This window comes from Homo sapiens, chromosome 19 (genome assembly GCF_000001405.40).
Source record: "Homo sapiens chromosome 19, GRCh38.p14 Primary Assembly".
Lineage (NCBI taxonomy): Eukaryota > Metazoa > Chordata > Mammalia > Primates > Hominidae > Homo > Homo sapiens.
This window is the reverse complement of record NC_000019.10, coordinates 944,988-958,490: the sequence shown is the minus strand read 5'-3', so window position 1 is coordinate 958,490 and position 13,503 is coordinate 944,988. Positions and strand designations below refer to the sequence as shown.

General features: G+C 60.3%; 1 protein-coding gene across 5 annotated transcripts in view, besides 14 other annotated features; it reads right to left on the bottom strand.

Annotated features, from left to right (window-relative positions):
• ARID3A (AT-rich interaction domain 3A) overlaps nucleotides 1-13,503 on the bottom strand; it is a 50,208-nt gene that overhangs the window by 17,449 nt on the left and 19,256 nt on the right. The window lies entirely within an intron of this gene.
• Nucleotides 645-837: a silencer, noted in NCBI's record as "fragment chr19:957654-957846 (GRCh37/hg19 assembly coordinates)". NCBI's record gives its function as "represses an EF-1alpha promoter that drives an FKBP-Casp9 reporter gene in an ReSE screen in K562 erythroleukemia cells {active_cell/tissue: K562}" and the evidence as "EXISTENCE:reporter gene assay evidence [ECO:0000049][PMID:32094911]".
• Nucleotides 1,213-1,914: an enhancer, noted in NCBI's record as "H3K27ac-H3K4me1 hESC enhancer chr19:956577-957278 (GRCh37/hg19 assembly coordinates)". NCBI's record gives its function as "activates a minimal SCP1, AML or CMV promoter by ChIP-STARR-seq in naive H9 embryonic stem cells {active_cell/tissue: H9 hESC(naive)}" and the evidence as "EXISTENCE:reporter gene assay evidence [ECO:0000049][PMID:30033119]".
• Nucleotides 2,617-3,318: an enhancer, noted in NCBI's record as "H3K27ac-H3K4me1 hESC enhancer chr19:955173-955874 (GRCh37/hg19 assembly coordinates)". NCBI's record gives its function as "activates a minimal SCP1, AML or CMV promoter by ChIP-STARR-seq in naive H9 embryonic stem cells {active_cell/tissue: H9 hESC(naive)}" and the evidence as "EXISTENCE:reporter gene assay evidence [ECO:0000049][PMID:30033119]".
• Nucleotides 2,617-3,327: a biological region, named in NCBI's record as "H3K27ac-H3K4me1 hESC enhancer GRCh37_chr19:955173-955874".
• Nucleotides 3,068-3,327: a silencer, noted in NCBI's record as "silent region_9643". NCBI's record gives its function as "represses an Ori minimal core promoter by ATAC-STARR-seq in GM12878 lymphoblastoid cells {active_cell/tissue: GM12878}" and the evidence as "EXISTENCE:reporter gene assay evidence [ECO:0000049][PMID:35858748]".
• Nucleotides 4,533-4,741: a silencer, noted in NCBI's record as "fragment chr19:953750-953958 (GRCh37/hg19 assembly coordinates)". NCBI's record gives its function as "represses an EF-1alpha promoter that drives an FKBP-Casp9 reporter gene in an ReSE screen in K562 erythroleukemia cells {active_cell/tissue: K562}" and the evidence as "EXISTENCE:reporter gene assay evidence [ECO:0000049][PMID:32094911]".
• Nucleotides 4,723-5,424: an enhancer, noted in NCBI's record as "H3K27ac-H3K4me1 hESC enhancer chr19:953067-953768 (GRCh37/hg19 assembly coordinates)". NCBI's record gives its function as "activates a minimal SCP1, AML or CMV promoter by ChIP-STARR-seq in primed H9 embryonic stem cells {active_cell/tissue: H9 hESC(primed)}" and the evidence as "EXISTENCE:reporter gene assay evidence [ECO:0000049][PMID:30033119]".
• Nucleotides 5,425-6,126: an enhancer, noted in NCBI's record as "H3K27ac-H3K4me1 hESC enhancer chr19:952365-953066 (GRCh37/hg19 assembly coordinates)". NCBI's record gives its function as "activates a minimal SCP1, AML or CMV promoter by ChIP-STARR-seq in naive H9 embryonic stem cells {active_cell/tissue: H9 hESC(naive)}" and the evidence as "EXISTENCE:reporter gene assay evidence [ECO:0000049][PMID:30033119]".
• Nucleotides 6,845-6,924: an enhancer, noted in NCBI's record as "active region_13576". NCBI's record gives its function as "activates an Ori minimal core promoter by ATAC-STARR-seq in GM12878 lymphoblastoid cells {active_cell/tissue: GM12878}" and the evidence as "EXISTENCE:reporter gene assay evidence [ECO:0000049][PMID:35858748]".
• Nucleotides 9,045-9,424: a silencer, noted in NCBI's record as "silent region_9642". NCBI's record gives its function as "represses an Ori minimal core promoter by ATAC-STARR-seq in GM12878 lymphoblastoid cells {active_cell/tissue: GM12878}" and the evidence as "EXISTENCE:reporter gene assay evidence [ECO:0000049][PMID:35858748]".
• Nucleotides 10,609-11,008: an enhancer, noted in NCBI's record as "active region_13575". NCBI's record gives its function as "activates an Ori minimal core promoter by ATAC-STARR-seq in GM12878 lymphoblastoid cells {active_cell/tissue: GM12878}" and the evidence as "EXISTENCE:reporter gene assay evidence [ECO:0000049][PMID:35858748]".
• Nucleotides 10,609-11,192: a biological region, named in NCBI's record as "H3K4me1 hESC enhancer GRCh37_chr19:947299-947798".
• Nucleotides 10,693-11,192: an enhancer, noted in NCBI's record as "H3K4me1 hESC enhancer chr19:947299-947798 (GRCh37/hg19 assembly coordinates)". NCBI's record gives its function as "activates a minimal SCP1, AML or CMV promoter by ChIP-STARR-seq in primed H9 embryonic stem cells {active_cell/tissue: H9 hESC(primed)}" and the evidence as "EXISTENCE:reporter gene assay evidence [ECO:0000049][PMID:30033119]".
• Nucleotides 11,089-11,148: an enhancer, noted in NCBI's record as "active region_13574". NCBI's record gives its function as "activates an Ori minimal core promoter by ATAC-STARR-seq in GM12878 lymphoblastoid cells {active_cell/tissue: GM12878}" and the evidence as "EXISTENCE:reporter gene assay evidence [ECO:0000049][PMID:35858748]".

Genomic DNA, 13,503 nt, shown 5'->3' with positions numbered 1-13,503 from the left:
AATCCAGTGCTTGAACCTGTCCTCTTCTTTTCTTTTTCTTTCTTCTTTTTTTTTTTTTTTTTTGAGATGGAGTCTCGCTCTGTCGCCCAGGCTGGAGTGCAGTGGCGCGATCTTGGCCCACTGCAAGCTCCACCTCCCGGGTTCACGCCATTCTCCTGCCTCAGCCTCTTGGAGTAGCTGGGACTACAGGCGCCCGCCACCACGCCCGGCTAATTTTTTTGTATTTTTAGTAGAGACGGAGTTTCACCATTTGGCCAGGATGGTCTCCTGACCTCGTGATCCGACTGCCTCAGTCTCCTAAAGTGCTGGGATTATGGGCATGAGCCACTGCGCCCAGCCTATTTTTTTTTTTAATTTTAATTTTTATTATTATTATTTTTAGATGGAGTCTCGCTCTGTCGCCCAGGCTGGAGTGCAATGGCGCAATCTCAGCTCGCTGCAACCTCTGTCTCCGGGGCTCAAGCAATTCTCCCCCCTCAGCCTCCTGAGTAGCTGGGATTACAGGCACCTGCCACTATGCCCAGCTAATTTTTGTATTTTTTGGGTAGAGACAGGGTTTCACTATTTGGCGAGGCTGGTCTTGAACTCCTGACCTCAAGTGATCCGCCTGCCACAGCCTCCCAAAGTCTTTTTTTTGTTTGTTTTTGGAGACAGGGTCTCACTCTGTTGCCCAGCCTGGAGTGCAGTGGCGCAATCATAGCTCACTGCAGCCTCAACCTCCTGGGCTCAAGGGATTCTCCTGCCTCAGCTGCCCAAGTGGCTGGGACCACAGGCACTCGCCATCACACCCGGCTAAGTTTTTACATTTTCTTTTGTAGAGATGGGTCTTTCTATGTTGCCCTGGCTGGTCTCGACCTCCTGGGCTCCCTCGATCCTCACGTGTTGCCTTCTCAAAGTGCTGGGGTCACAGGCGGGAGCCACCGCCCTCCACCTTTTCTTTGGGGGACACAATTTACCCTAGGACAGTGCCTGCCTGAGTTCACACAGCAAATCGCTGCAAAAATTCACCAGCATGCCTCCCGGGGCTGTCCTGAGGGTCGGACGGGAGCGCATTTGTTCCGAGAACTGGCTCTGCTTTGCAGGTGAGGAAACTGAGACACAGCGGCGAGTGCGGGACCAGAGCCTGGGGGCTGCTGGGGACTTGGCCCAGAGCCCCGCCCTGCTTCCCATCCCGGTCCTCCTGTCTCCTGCTGGCTTCCCCGCACCTGGAGCCTGGAGTCTCAGCCTCCAGCTATGAAATGAGCCACCGACCGCCTCTGCCTGCCAGGGTGGTGGCTGGGGAGGAAGAAGATCACCAGGCCCCGGAACGTCTTCCAGAGGGGAAAGAGGCTCCGTCTGGGGTACAAGGAGCCAGGAGGTCCCCCAGCGCCCCCCCCCACCCACAGGTTCGGGCGGGCAGGGTGGGGGAAAGCCGGCAGGGATAATTAGAAAGCGGAGTTCAGGCGGGGGCCAATTTGCCGAGGAGGAGCTGCGACAAATACCAGGCTGCCAATTAAGCTCGGGGGAATGTGGCTGGCTGGGCAGTGGGGAGCCTTGAAACCACCAATTAGGCCTCAGCTGGGATGATCGGTCATTAGGGCCCAGAAGGAGACCCACGCCCAGCCCCTGCTGCTGCGGGGACATCCCAGGTGCTGGGGAGGCCGGCCAAAGGCCCCATCACCCTGCAGCCGTCCTGCCCCTCTCTGGGCCTCAGTTTCCCCGTCTGTGTATTGGAGGCCCAGTGAGGCCTTCCGGGAAGGGGCTGGGGGGGCAGCCAGGAGTCCTGACCTCTGCCCTGGGTGGTCGAGGCTGCCCGAGGTCCAGCTGCCTGGTCTTTGTCTCCGCCCCAACCCGGCCAGCGCCAGACTGGCCAGCCTGCATTCCTGCGCTGATTTATGGTGGCCGGGGAGGCCCTTTCCCCTTCAGCTGCCTGAGGGGTGTGGGGCCCTCAGGTAGACCCGGCTGGCCGGGCCGGTGGGTCCCATGAGCACAGGCACGCACACATGGCCACACGCCCGGCCTCGTCCTCTGACCCCGGCCCGGCTGCCGCCCCCTCCCCTCCACGTTCTTCCTCCGAGACCCCGTCCATCACCGAGTCACGGATCTAGGAGTGTATCTGGGGTTTAGTCTGTTTTGTTCCCAGAGTCTGGAATCAGCCGAGCACACAGCAGTTGCCTAATAAATGCTCGTTACTTGAACCTTGATTTTCTCAGCTGCAAAAGTGAGCCGGGCAGGGCGGAGAGGGGGACAGGGCGGAGAGGGGGACAGGACGAGCTTGCCAGGGAAACGCCTGAGGCAGCAGGTACTGGAATGGGGAGGACTTCACCGCTGGGGCTGTCCTGGGGTGAACGCCATCCCCCACCCAAATTCACATCGGCCCAGAACCTCAGAACGAGACGTTATTTGGAAAAAGGGCCTTTGCAGACGTGATCAAATTGAGAAAAAGTCACAGTGAAGGCCGGTGGGCACTGGAGACGGTCGCACAGAGACAGAGGCCGGCCACATGTCAAGGGACTCCTGGAGCCCCCAGGAGCTGGGAGAGGCGGAAGGCTCCTCCTGCAGCCCCTGGAGGGAGCGCAGCCCTGCGGACGCCTCGATTTTGGACTCTGGGCTCCAGGACGGAGGGAGAACAGGTTTCGTTTGTTTTACGCCCGCGGTTTGAGGTCCTTCGTTACGCAGCCCCCCGGCTAAGAACCGCACGTAGAGGCCAGCACACCTTGGGCCCTTCCAGGGCGAGCGGAAGGTCCTCTCCTCTGAGATTCTGACCCGGTATTACGGGGTCTACCCTGCCTGGACCCCCCCTTCCCTGGCACAGCCCCTACAAGAAACCTCACCGCACCTCCTGCCTCAGTTTCCCCATCTCTCAAATAGAGTGTGTGAGAAAACACAGCAGCTTTACCCCAAGCACCTGGCGCCCCAGCTACCCTCACATCCCGGATGGGGAAACCGAGGCGCCAGGCAGCAATCAGCTGCCCCATGTACAGCCAGCCAAGGTTGGGGTTGGAGAGGGGAGCCATTAACTCCCAGGCCAAATGGTGGGCGAACTGGGCCGGTGGCGAGGCACGGTCAGACCCCTGTGGGGCCGGGGCACTGATGCGTGGCAGTAAAGGGAGGACCTGCGGGGGCCCCAGCTGCTGGCGGGGGAGGCGGCTCTAATGGCCGTTGCTGTGGGCAGCCAGCAACAAAGCCAGCAGTAAAGGCCGCCTGGGCTTTATGGGTCTCTGGCCCCCGGTTCCGCTCCCCTGTGGGGGGCGCCCCGCCCTGGCCAGCTGGCCGAGGCCCCAGGGATGGGAAAGCAGGGGACGGTGTCCAGGCTGCCCATGGCGGTGTCCAGGCCCCCCTTGTGGGCCAGATCCCGGGTTGAACTGCTGGGCCACAGCACACCCCATGGCAAACCCAGGCCTTGGTTCTCACCTGGGTTCTGTGGCCGAAACCCTGCCCCTCTGAAACGTCAACCAGAAAGCTCTGAAATCAGCCGCCCACCACACACCCACAGGAGCCCTAAACCCAGGCTGGAGATTGGGCAAAATCTCCGGAAACTCCCTCCCCAGGGGCTGAGGGCCGAGATAAGCGGCCCGCACTCCCCTCCACGCCGCCTGACCTCCCTGGGGCCTGCTCTGATCACGGGAGGGGTCGGGTGTGAAGTTCTGAAGGTGCCCCTCCGCTGAGACCCCCACCGCCCCCCATCAGCCCCGAGCGGCCGCCTTCGCCCCGGCTGTTCCTCCCGTCTGCGAGGCCTTCTCAGCCCCTTCCCTTCGTCTGGGTCCCCTGTGGTCATTCCCTCCCTGGAGGGGAGCCCCCCGTCCTCCCAGGACCGATATCACCTCCGCAGATGCTCTGCTCCCACCCACCTTTACCGACCACCGGCCTCACGGGGTTTCTGGCTCACGGCCCCCCTTGGACCCCCAGCCCTCGCATGGCCCCAGCTGTGTGGATTCACGCATTTGTCTCTCGTCTGTCTGCCCTGGAACATGCGGAATTCTTATCTTGTTGCCAGCATCCAAAATCGGGCACACAGCAGTTGCCTAATAAATGCATGTTAAATGAACTTGCTTTCTCAGTGCGATGCCAAGAAAATGCGGGGCCACAGGGCAGGCCTGGGGGTCTTTCCCTGAGGGGGTCCCCTCCCCTCTGTCCACTTCCTGCTGTGGGGGATGGAAGGTGTGGACCCCTAATTACCAAGGCTGGGCCCATCGTCTCCCCTTCCCAGCACCACCTGCTTCGGAGAAGGGGAAACCGAGGCACAGAGCGCGTGGAGCCAAGCCACCTCCAGGTCCCCCGGCCGCCCCTCCTGCCAGACCCTTCCCCACTCAGCAGTTGGGTGGGGTGGGGGGTTTTTCACAGACATCTGAGCATGACCCTCCCTCGGCCACAGCCTCCCAGGGCCCCCCAGCACCCTCCTGGCCCCTCCCTGCCCTCTCCTGCTCCCTCCGCCCCGGCCTTGAGCTGCCCTATTTAGGGACAGGGTCTCGCTCTGTCACTCAGGCTGGAGTGCAGTGGTGAGACCCTAGCTCACTGCAGCCTCCACCTCCCACCTCGGTCTCCTGAGCCAATGAGACCACAGGCAGGCACCACCACGCTCGGCTAATTTTTGTATTTCTATAGAGACAAGGTCTTGCTATATTGCTCAGGCTGGTCTCAAACTCCTGGCCTTAAGTGATCCTCCTGCCTCAGCCTCCCACAGCGCTGGGATTACAGGCAGGAGCCCCCAGACCCAGCCTTGGCGTCTTTCTATGTAAAACGCACAGGCCCCCACCCCAGGGCCTCCGCGGCGCTGTTCCTTCTGCCTGGAATGCAGCTCCCGGGTCCCCGCTCGGCTCCTGCCTTCCCGCCCAAACGTCGCCTTCTGACAGAGCCCCCTCCACAGCCCCCCTCAGCCTCTGACCCCTTCATTCCTCTTTGGTTTTCTTCCCAGAAGGTTGCACGCCCGAGCCCCGTTACACGGATCTGCAAGACACACTCCGTGGCTCTGGGGATGGAGGGAAGACGCTGTGGCCCCCGACCCTGACACTCCCCCGGCTCTGCACGGGGGGGGGTGTGGGAGGCCTGGGGGGGTGGGAGGTGCCGCCCCCACCTGATGAGGACCGGGCCCCTCTGGAGGGGGCACCTGTGAGGAGAGAGGGTGGCGGGGCTCGGGTGGTGGCGCCGGTGGGGGAGGGGAGGAAAAAGTGAGATAACCGCCACCCCCCAGCCCTGGAAGGGCAAACAGGAAATTCTTGTTTGTGGCGAAACGTTGATGATTTTCTCCACCCCACCTCCCAGAGAAACGACAGCTCCGAGGGGGTCAGTGGAGTCTGCTGGCGGACAGGGTGCAAGATAAGTCCCAGGGCCACCTGGGAGTGGGGAGGGGGTTCCCCGGCTGCCCGGACCACCCCTAGAACCAGGGAGTTCAGCCCCGGCTCAGGACTCCCCTCCCCAGCCCACCGGCTCTGGGAGGTGGGAGGAAGGTCAGAAAAAGACCCCAGAGGTTTGCAGAAAATCCAAGGAAAGGGTTGGCCAGGACAGAAGAGGGTGGCCGGGGCCAGCACATGCGGCCCCTCCCCCAGCAGTGCCCAAGGTCACAGGTGGGCAGTGCCCAAGGTCACAGGGGGGCTATGGTTTCCCCACTCAGTCCCCAGGCAGGCCCCACCTGGGCACTCCCACCAGGTCCCAGCAGCTGCGGGGGGCCCAGGGCGGTGTCCTTGGGCCCAGAGGCCCAGGCTGTAAAGAAACCGCCTGTCTGCAGGGCCCCCTGGGAGAACCTTTGCCCCCCAGGCCCCCTCCAGTCTCCCAGGAGGCTCCAAAGTCCATGAGGCCCCACCTGGGGATGAGGCCACGGCAGGGGTGGGAGGGGTGCAGGAGCTGGGAGGCACCTGGTCAGCTGCAGCCCTTCAGACGCTCTCTTTGGCCACAGAATTCAGGGAAATCCAAGAAAGAATCCAAGTGTCTAGCGTTTGGGGACTGCCGAGCCCTGAGCCTCCAGGAGGGTTGGCCTGACTGAGCCTCCAGGAGGGTTGGCCCGAGACTTGGCAGAGAGATGTCAGAAGAAGAGAAATTTTCTTTCCTTTTTTTTTTTTTTTTTTTTTTTTTTGAGACAGGGTCTCGCTCTGTGGCCCAGGCTGGAGTGCACTGGCACGATCACAGCTCACTGCAGCCTCAGCCTCTCAGGCTCAAGTGATCCTCCTGCCTCAGCCTCTGGAGTAGTTGGGACCCCAGGCACACACCACCATGCCCAGTTTTAACTTTTTTTTGTAGAGATGGGGTCTTGCTATGTTGCCCAGGCTGGGTACAAACTCCTGGGCTCAAGTGATCCTCCCTCCTCGGCCTCCCAGAGTGCTGGGATTCTGGGCATGAACCACCACGCCCAGCCTGAGACACTTTGTTTTTGTTTTGAGACCGAGTCTCGCTCTGTCGCTCAGGCTGGAGTACAGTGGTGTGACCTCAGCTCACTGCAACCTCCGCCTCCCGGGTTCAAACGATTCTCCTGCCCCAGCCTCCCAAGTAGGTGGGATTACCGGCACGTGCCACCACACCTGGCTAATTTTTTTTTTAAATTTTTTGCAGAGACGGGGTTTCACCATGTTGGCCAAGCTGGTCTTGAACTCCTGACCTCAGGCCATCCTCCCGCCTCTGCCTCTCGAAGTGCTGGGATTCTGGGTATGAGCCACTGTGCCCAGCCTGAGAAATGTTCTAAAAGGCACGTTTTTGCACTGTCCAATATGGCTTCTGGGAAACTGAAGAAGTATGTTTTCCTCTAAGGCCAGATATAGGTCTGCGGATGCTCAGAAGCAGCAGCAATAGATCTGAGTCAGCAGCCGCCCCCTCCGGGCAGCAGCCTGAGCCTCCCAGGCGCCCACGCACCCAGCGGGGCTGAAGGGTCAGAGGGAAAAAGAGAATTCATCCAACAGCCAGGCCCACCCAGACCAGCCGGGGAACTCTGAGGTTTGGTTCTTTAGTCTACGTTGTTTTTTTTCCTTTTTTTGAGACAGGGTCTTACTCTGTCGCCCAGGCTGGAGTGCAGTGATGCAGTCATAGCTCACTGCAGCCTCCTGGGCTCAAGTGATCCTCCCACCTCAGCCTCCCGATTAGGTGGGACCACAGGCACCTGCCACCACTCCTGGCTAATTTTTGTATTTTTAGTAGAGATGGGGTTTCACACCATGTTGGCCAGGCTGGTCTTGAACTCCTGACCTTGTGATCCGCCCGCCTCGGCCTCCCAAAGTGCTGGGATTACAGGCATGAGCCACCGCGCCTGGCCTTAAAAGATCTTATAAAAGGCTGGGTGTGGTGGCTCACGCCTGTAATCCCAGCACGTTGGGAGGCCAAGGCAGAAGGATCACTTGAGCCCAGGAGTTTGAGATCAGCCTCAGCAACACAGCGAGACCCCGTCTCTTCTTTAAGAAAGAATCCTGGCCGGGCATAGTGGCTCACGCCTGTAATCCCAGCACTTAGGGAGGCTGAGGCGGGCGGATCACCTGAGGTCAGGAGTTTGAGACCAGCCTGACCAACATGGAGAAACCCCATCTCTATCAAAAATACAAAATAGGCCAGGCGTGGTGGTGCATGCCCGTAACCCCAGCTACTCAAGAGGCTGAGGCAGGAGAATAGTTTGAACCCGGGAGGCAGAGGTTGTGGTGAGCTGAGATCGTGCCATTGCACTCCAGCCTGGGAAACAAGAGTGAAACTCCACCTCAAAAAAAAAACAAAATAAAGAACTAATTCACTGTGACTCCTACAACCAAAGTTAAACTGAAAGAGCTGCTTTTTATCTCCCAAATCCCCATGAAGCAGCCAGGATGGTAAATGAGATGCCCTCTCCTTCCAGCAGCCTCCAAGGTCGGAGGGACCAAGGGGCTTGGAAGTCAAGACCAAGATCAAACCAGGTCTCTCCCCTGCTCCACGGTCAACCGTGGCTCCCTACTGCTCCCAGAAGAAAGCCCAACTCCCTGCCTGCCTGCCGGTCCCCACGCGCGCCTCCACATGGCTACAGCCATCTGTACACACCTGGCTGCTCCCCCTGAACCCCTCTTTCCCTGAGTGGGCCCCTCTCACTCCTGCAGCAGCAGGCGGCCTGTGCTAACCCTCAGCACCTTCCCGGGCTCAGGCTGGGTGCTCATCCATTCACTCTGGGGACGGCCTCATCCATCCATTCCCTCTGGGGACGGCCTCATCCATCCGTTCCCTCTGGGGACGGCCTCATCCATCCGTTCCCTCTGGGGACGGCCTCATCCATCCGTTCCCTCTGGGGACGGCCTCATCCATCCGTTCCCTCTGGGGACGGCCTCATCCATCCGTTCCCTCTGGGGACGGCCTCATCCATCCGTTCCCTCTGGGGACGGCCTCATCCATCCGTTCACTCTGGGGACGGCCTCATCCATCCGTTCACTCTGGGGACGGCCTCATCCATCCGTTCACTCTGGGGACGGCCTCATCCATCCGTTCACTCTGGGGACGGCCTCATCCATCCGTTCACTCTGGGGACGGCCTCATCCATCCGTTCACTCTGGGGACGGCCTCTTTGCATCTTTCCTGCCTACCTCCCACCCATCAAGGCAAAATCTAGCCCAGATGCGGTGACTCACACCTGTCATCCCAGCACTTTGGGAGGCCGAGGTGGGCAGATCACCTGAGGTCAGGAGTCCCAGCCTGGCCAACATGGAGAAACCCCGTCTCTACTAAAAATACAAAAATTAGCCGGGCGTGGTGGTGAACCCCTGTAATTCCAGCTACTCAGGAGGCTGAGGTGGGAGAATCACTTGAACCTGAGAGGCAGAGATTGCGTGAGCTCAGATCGCACCACTGCACTCCAGCCTGGGCGACAGAGCGAGACTCCATCTCAAAAAAAAAAAAAAAAAAGACAGAATCAGGGTCTGTGGGGCACAGTGGCGGGAATCCAGCAGGCATCCACTGGAGGGAGGGGAAAGGCCAGGGGCGGCGGCTCCTGCCTATAATCCCAGCACTTTGGGAGGCCGAGGCAGGAGGATGGCTTGAGGCCAGGAGTTGGAGGAAGAAGGAAAAGAAAGAGGCCGTAAGAAGCTTTCCTTCCTCCAATGCTGGTGTCCCCTTTCCGGCCCCTCTCTGAAGCCCCACTCCTGGCAGCTCCCATCCACTGACAGCACCCCCAGCCCCCCACCCCCTCCCGGAGGCCTGATGATCCTGCTATCTGGCACGGCGGAGGCCCGGGGCAGAGGCTGAGATGACTCAGCACCTGCGGCTGCTGCTCCCCAGGTGGGCAGGGTCCCTGGGGGCCTTGGCACCTCCCCCTCCACACAGGCACCCACGCCGCCGCTGGGAGGGGTGGGCAGGGCGGGACCCAGCACTGCCTCCCCACACCCCTGGGGCCCTGCTCTGCATTTGGGGAACTGAGGCAGGGAGGGGTCCACACCTCTCTGGTAACCAGGTTTGCAGAGTACCAGCAACCTGCAAAGCCCTTCACTTGTCCACAGTCCGGAGAGGCGGGAAGGAGGCGGCCAGAGTGCACCCCCGCAGCCACATCACTGCTGTAGACTCCAGGATGGCCACGCGCGGTGGCTCATGCCTGTAATCCCATAATCCCAGTACTTTGGGAGGCCGAGGCGGGCGGATCACCTGAGGTCAGGAGTTTGAGACCAGCCCGGCCAACATGGCAAAACCCTGTCTCTACTAAAATACAAAAATTAGCCGGGCGTGGTGGCGCACGCCTGTAGTCCCAGCTACTCGGGAGGCTGAGGCAGGAGAATCACTTGAATCCGGGAGGCGGAGGTTGCAGTGAGCTGAGATCGTGCCACTGCACTCCAGCCTGGGCGACAGAGTGAAACTTTGTCTCAAAAAAAAAAAAAAAAAAAAAAAAAGACTCCAGGCCTCATCCCTCGTCCCCTCCCCACAGAGTCCAGAGGCCAGGAATGAACAGCTGGACAGATGAGGCAGGAATGAAGAAGGAATGAAGACGGAGCAGAGCCTGGGGCTGCAGGCGGGAGGAGGGCACGGGGGGCAGGAGGACCTGGAGGACCTGGAGTCTCGCGCCCCAGTCTGCCCATTCTCCGGGCCTCAGTTTACCCATGGTGGGGGTGGGGCCGAAGCCATCAAGAAGCGGAAGCTGGCGCTGTGGCCCCGCAGGACCGCGGCCCCGGGAGGCCGGGGGATTTTGAATCTCGCTGTTTTTCCCGTCCCGGAAACTCCCAGGACTGACAGAGGCAGCAGAGCTGAGCGTGGACCACAGGGCCAGCCACACGGGGCTGTCAGTCCACAGCGTTTCTGCCAGGACAGGGCACTCTGCAGCCATTATTGAGCACCTCCTGTGTGTCCTGGACTATCTTGTATGCTGGGGAGATGCAGTGTCCAAAAAGGGCCCGGACTTCCCGGTTCAGGGAGCAGGAGGAAGAGGTCAGCTGGGGCGGGTGGGCTGTGAAGGGAAACACCAGGGGACAGGCGGCCCCGACCGACCTGGACTGATGGGTCGGGGGAGGGCAGGGTCACCCACACCCAGCAGGCGCTTACTTAGCTAGCGTCTGCTGTGTGACCTCAGGCCCTTCCCCGCCCTCTCTGGGCTCTGCCTGGCCATGGGTTGCTCCTCGTGCACCTGACCAGCCGGGGGGCTCCCCCGCCTGCCTAAGCCACGAGGTCCTTTCAATTCCCGTCAGCACAGCCAGGCCTCGGCGGATGCAGATGCTGAGAGCCCCGCCGGGCGTGGGGAAATTGGGGAAGTGATTCTGGGCAGGGCCGAACATCTGCCGGCTCCACTCCCCCGGCCCTGATGGGCCCCGAGTCCCCTCTCTGGAAATACACAGCGCCGCACCCACGGGGCGGATATTAATAACACTCTCCAGAAATGACAATGAAGCGCGGCCCGGGAAGCTGGCGTGGTGAAGGTGCTTCTCTGTGGATTTCCAGATCACGAGATTCCGGGGGAGCTTGCTGACGCCAGACCCTCCTCATTCTCCCGTGACGGGCCCTTCGTGCGATCGCCACCCTGGCACCTCGGTCTTCTCATCTGTGAAACGGTCCCGGGGCATCTGGGTGGGGGCTGAGACATGGATGGGGGAGTCCCTTGCTCAGGGAGGAGACGCTGACCGGCCGCCAGCCCGTTTCACAGTTGGGGAAACTGAGGCCCACGAGTCCAGGACGGCAGCGACAGGCCTGGTGCTGAGATGTGGCCGGGGTGGGATCAGCTGACAGGCACTTCCAGAAAGTTGGTGCAGAGGAGGCAGGAGGCAGCCCCATGGCGGCGAGATATGACGTGGAAATCTGGGGCCCGCAGTCCCTAATAGAGTCTCCGCCGAGGGCACTGGCCTTAAGCAGCCCCTCTATCTGCCAGGAAACCCGTTTCACAGATGCAGACACAGACACAGATCTGGGCTGACGGCAGGGGGTGCCCCAGGCCACACACAGACACACCCCACCCCACGGTGCCCAGCAATGGGGGGCACCCAGCAAACATTTCAATGCAGAATCTCAGTGTGGGCTGGGCACAGTGGCTCCCACCTTTGATCCCAGCACTGTGGGAGGCCGAGGTGGGCAGACTGCTCGAGCCCAGGAGTTTGAGACCCGCCTGGGCAATATGACAAAACCCTGTTTTTACAAAAAAAAAAAAAAAAATTAGCCAGGCATAGTGGCGCACCTGTAATCCCAGCTACTCAGGGGGCTGAGGCAGGAGGATCACGTGAGCCCAGGAGCTCGAGGCTGCAGTGAGCCGAGATGACATCACTGCACTCCAGCCTGGGCAACAGAGGGAGACCCTGTCACACACACACACACACAAACAAACAAACAGAATTTTAGTTTTGAAGCCTTTGGGATTAAAGAAAGAAAACATTAGCCGGGGACGGTGGCTCACGCCTGTAATCCCAGCACTTTGGGAGGCCGAGGCAGGCGGATCACTTGAGGTCAGGAGCTTGAGACCAGCCTGGCCAACATGGTGAAACCCCATCTCTACTAAAAATACAAAAATTAGCCGGGCATGGTGGCGGGCGCCTGTAGTCCCAGCTACTCGGGAGGCTGAGGCAGGAAAATGGCGTGAACCCGGGAGGCGGAGCTTGCAGTGAGCCAAGACCGCGACACCGCACTCTAGCCTGGGAGACAGTGAGACTCCGTCTCAAAAAAAAAAAAAAAAAAAAAGATTCAAAAAATTAGCCGGGCGTGGTGGTGCACGCTTGTAATCCCAGCTACTCGGGAGGCTAAGGCAGGAGAATCGCTTGAACCCGGGAGGCGGAGCTTGCAGTGAGCCAAGATCGCACCACTGCACTCCAGCCTGGGTGACAAAGCAAGACTCTGTCTCATAAATAAATACATAAATAAATAAATAAAAAGGAAAAAGTAAAAGTAAAAAAAACAAAAAAATAAAAATGAAATACCCAGTGTTCTCCTCCCCCAGGCAGTGACGAACCTGCCACTCCACGCGGCCGGGGCGTTCTGTACAGGGTCCCCGCCCCCCAGACCGGCCAGCCCACCCACAATACGCCCTCATGCTCCCACCTGGACGCCGGGCCCCTGCCTCCGCGAGCCTCATTTTTCCCTGCTGAGAAATGGGCTCGGAGTAACCGCAGGGTCCAAGCACTTTGCCCAGAGCTGGGCACTCAGCAATTAACTCCGTCCTGGGGTTCCCTGCAGACGGGACCTGGACGGTCCCAGAAAGCCTCAGAAGTGTCATGCCCAGCAGGAGTGTCCATTTGGAAAGAGGCACCTGGTGGGAGACTGCGGTCCCATCACTCCCAGCCCAGGTTCTCTGAACAGAAACGCAGCCCAGCACCAGCAGCAGGAGCCGGGCAGTGCAAGGGGCCAGAACACGCCTGCCCCGGCCATGTCGACGCCGTCCCCACAATGGGACACGGGCCTGCCTGGAGTCCGGGCCCAAAGACGGCTGCAGGAAGGAAGGGGCTGCTTCCACCTCCCACCCTAGAGTCAAGAGGAAGGGCCCTCCCTGGTGGGCTCAGGGTCCGGGGTCCCTTGGGGTACACCTGGCCGGAGCTTCTGCCAGACCCCAGGCTGAGGGCAGGACAGGAACTGCCCCTACCATGGGCAGCAGCCTCGGAGGAGTCACTCAAGGCTCTGCCCGCTCCAGGGACACCCCACCATCCCACCCGCTGCAGGGAGCAGACGGAGGTGGGCTGGGGCCGCCCTGGACACCTCCCCGCTAGGGAGCAGACGGAGGTGGGCTGGGTCAGGCAGCAGGGGCCATGCCACACGCCGTCCCCTCTCTACAGGAGTTACAGGAGAAACCTGGTGAACCGTAAAGGCCAAGGATGAAAACAAAGTCACAAGAGCTGCACTCCTTCTGATACCATCCCCGTCTTACGGGCGGGGAAACTGAGGCCGAGAGGAGGAGGTCACAGGCACCAGGCCCAGGTCGGGCAGAGCTGGGATCTCTGCATGTTGGTGTGCCCAGGCTCTCTCCCCCCAGGTGGCATTAAAGCAATGAATAACCACAGAGGTGATCTGTCTAGTTCTTCCCCAAGAACCAGGTCCAAGGGCCCCCACGAGATGGGCATGTGGCCAACTGAGGGGTGGGGGCAGTGGCTGGGCAGGGCGCCAGCTAGGGCAGAGACGCCCAGCCACTCCCGGAAAAATGGC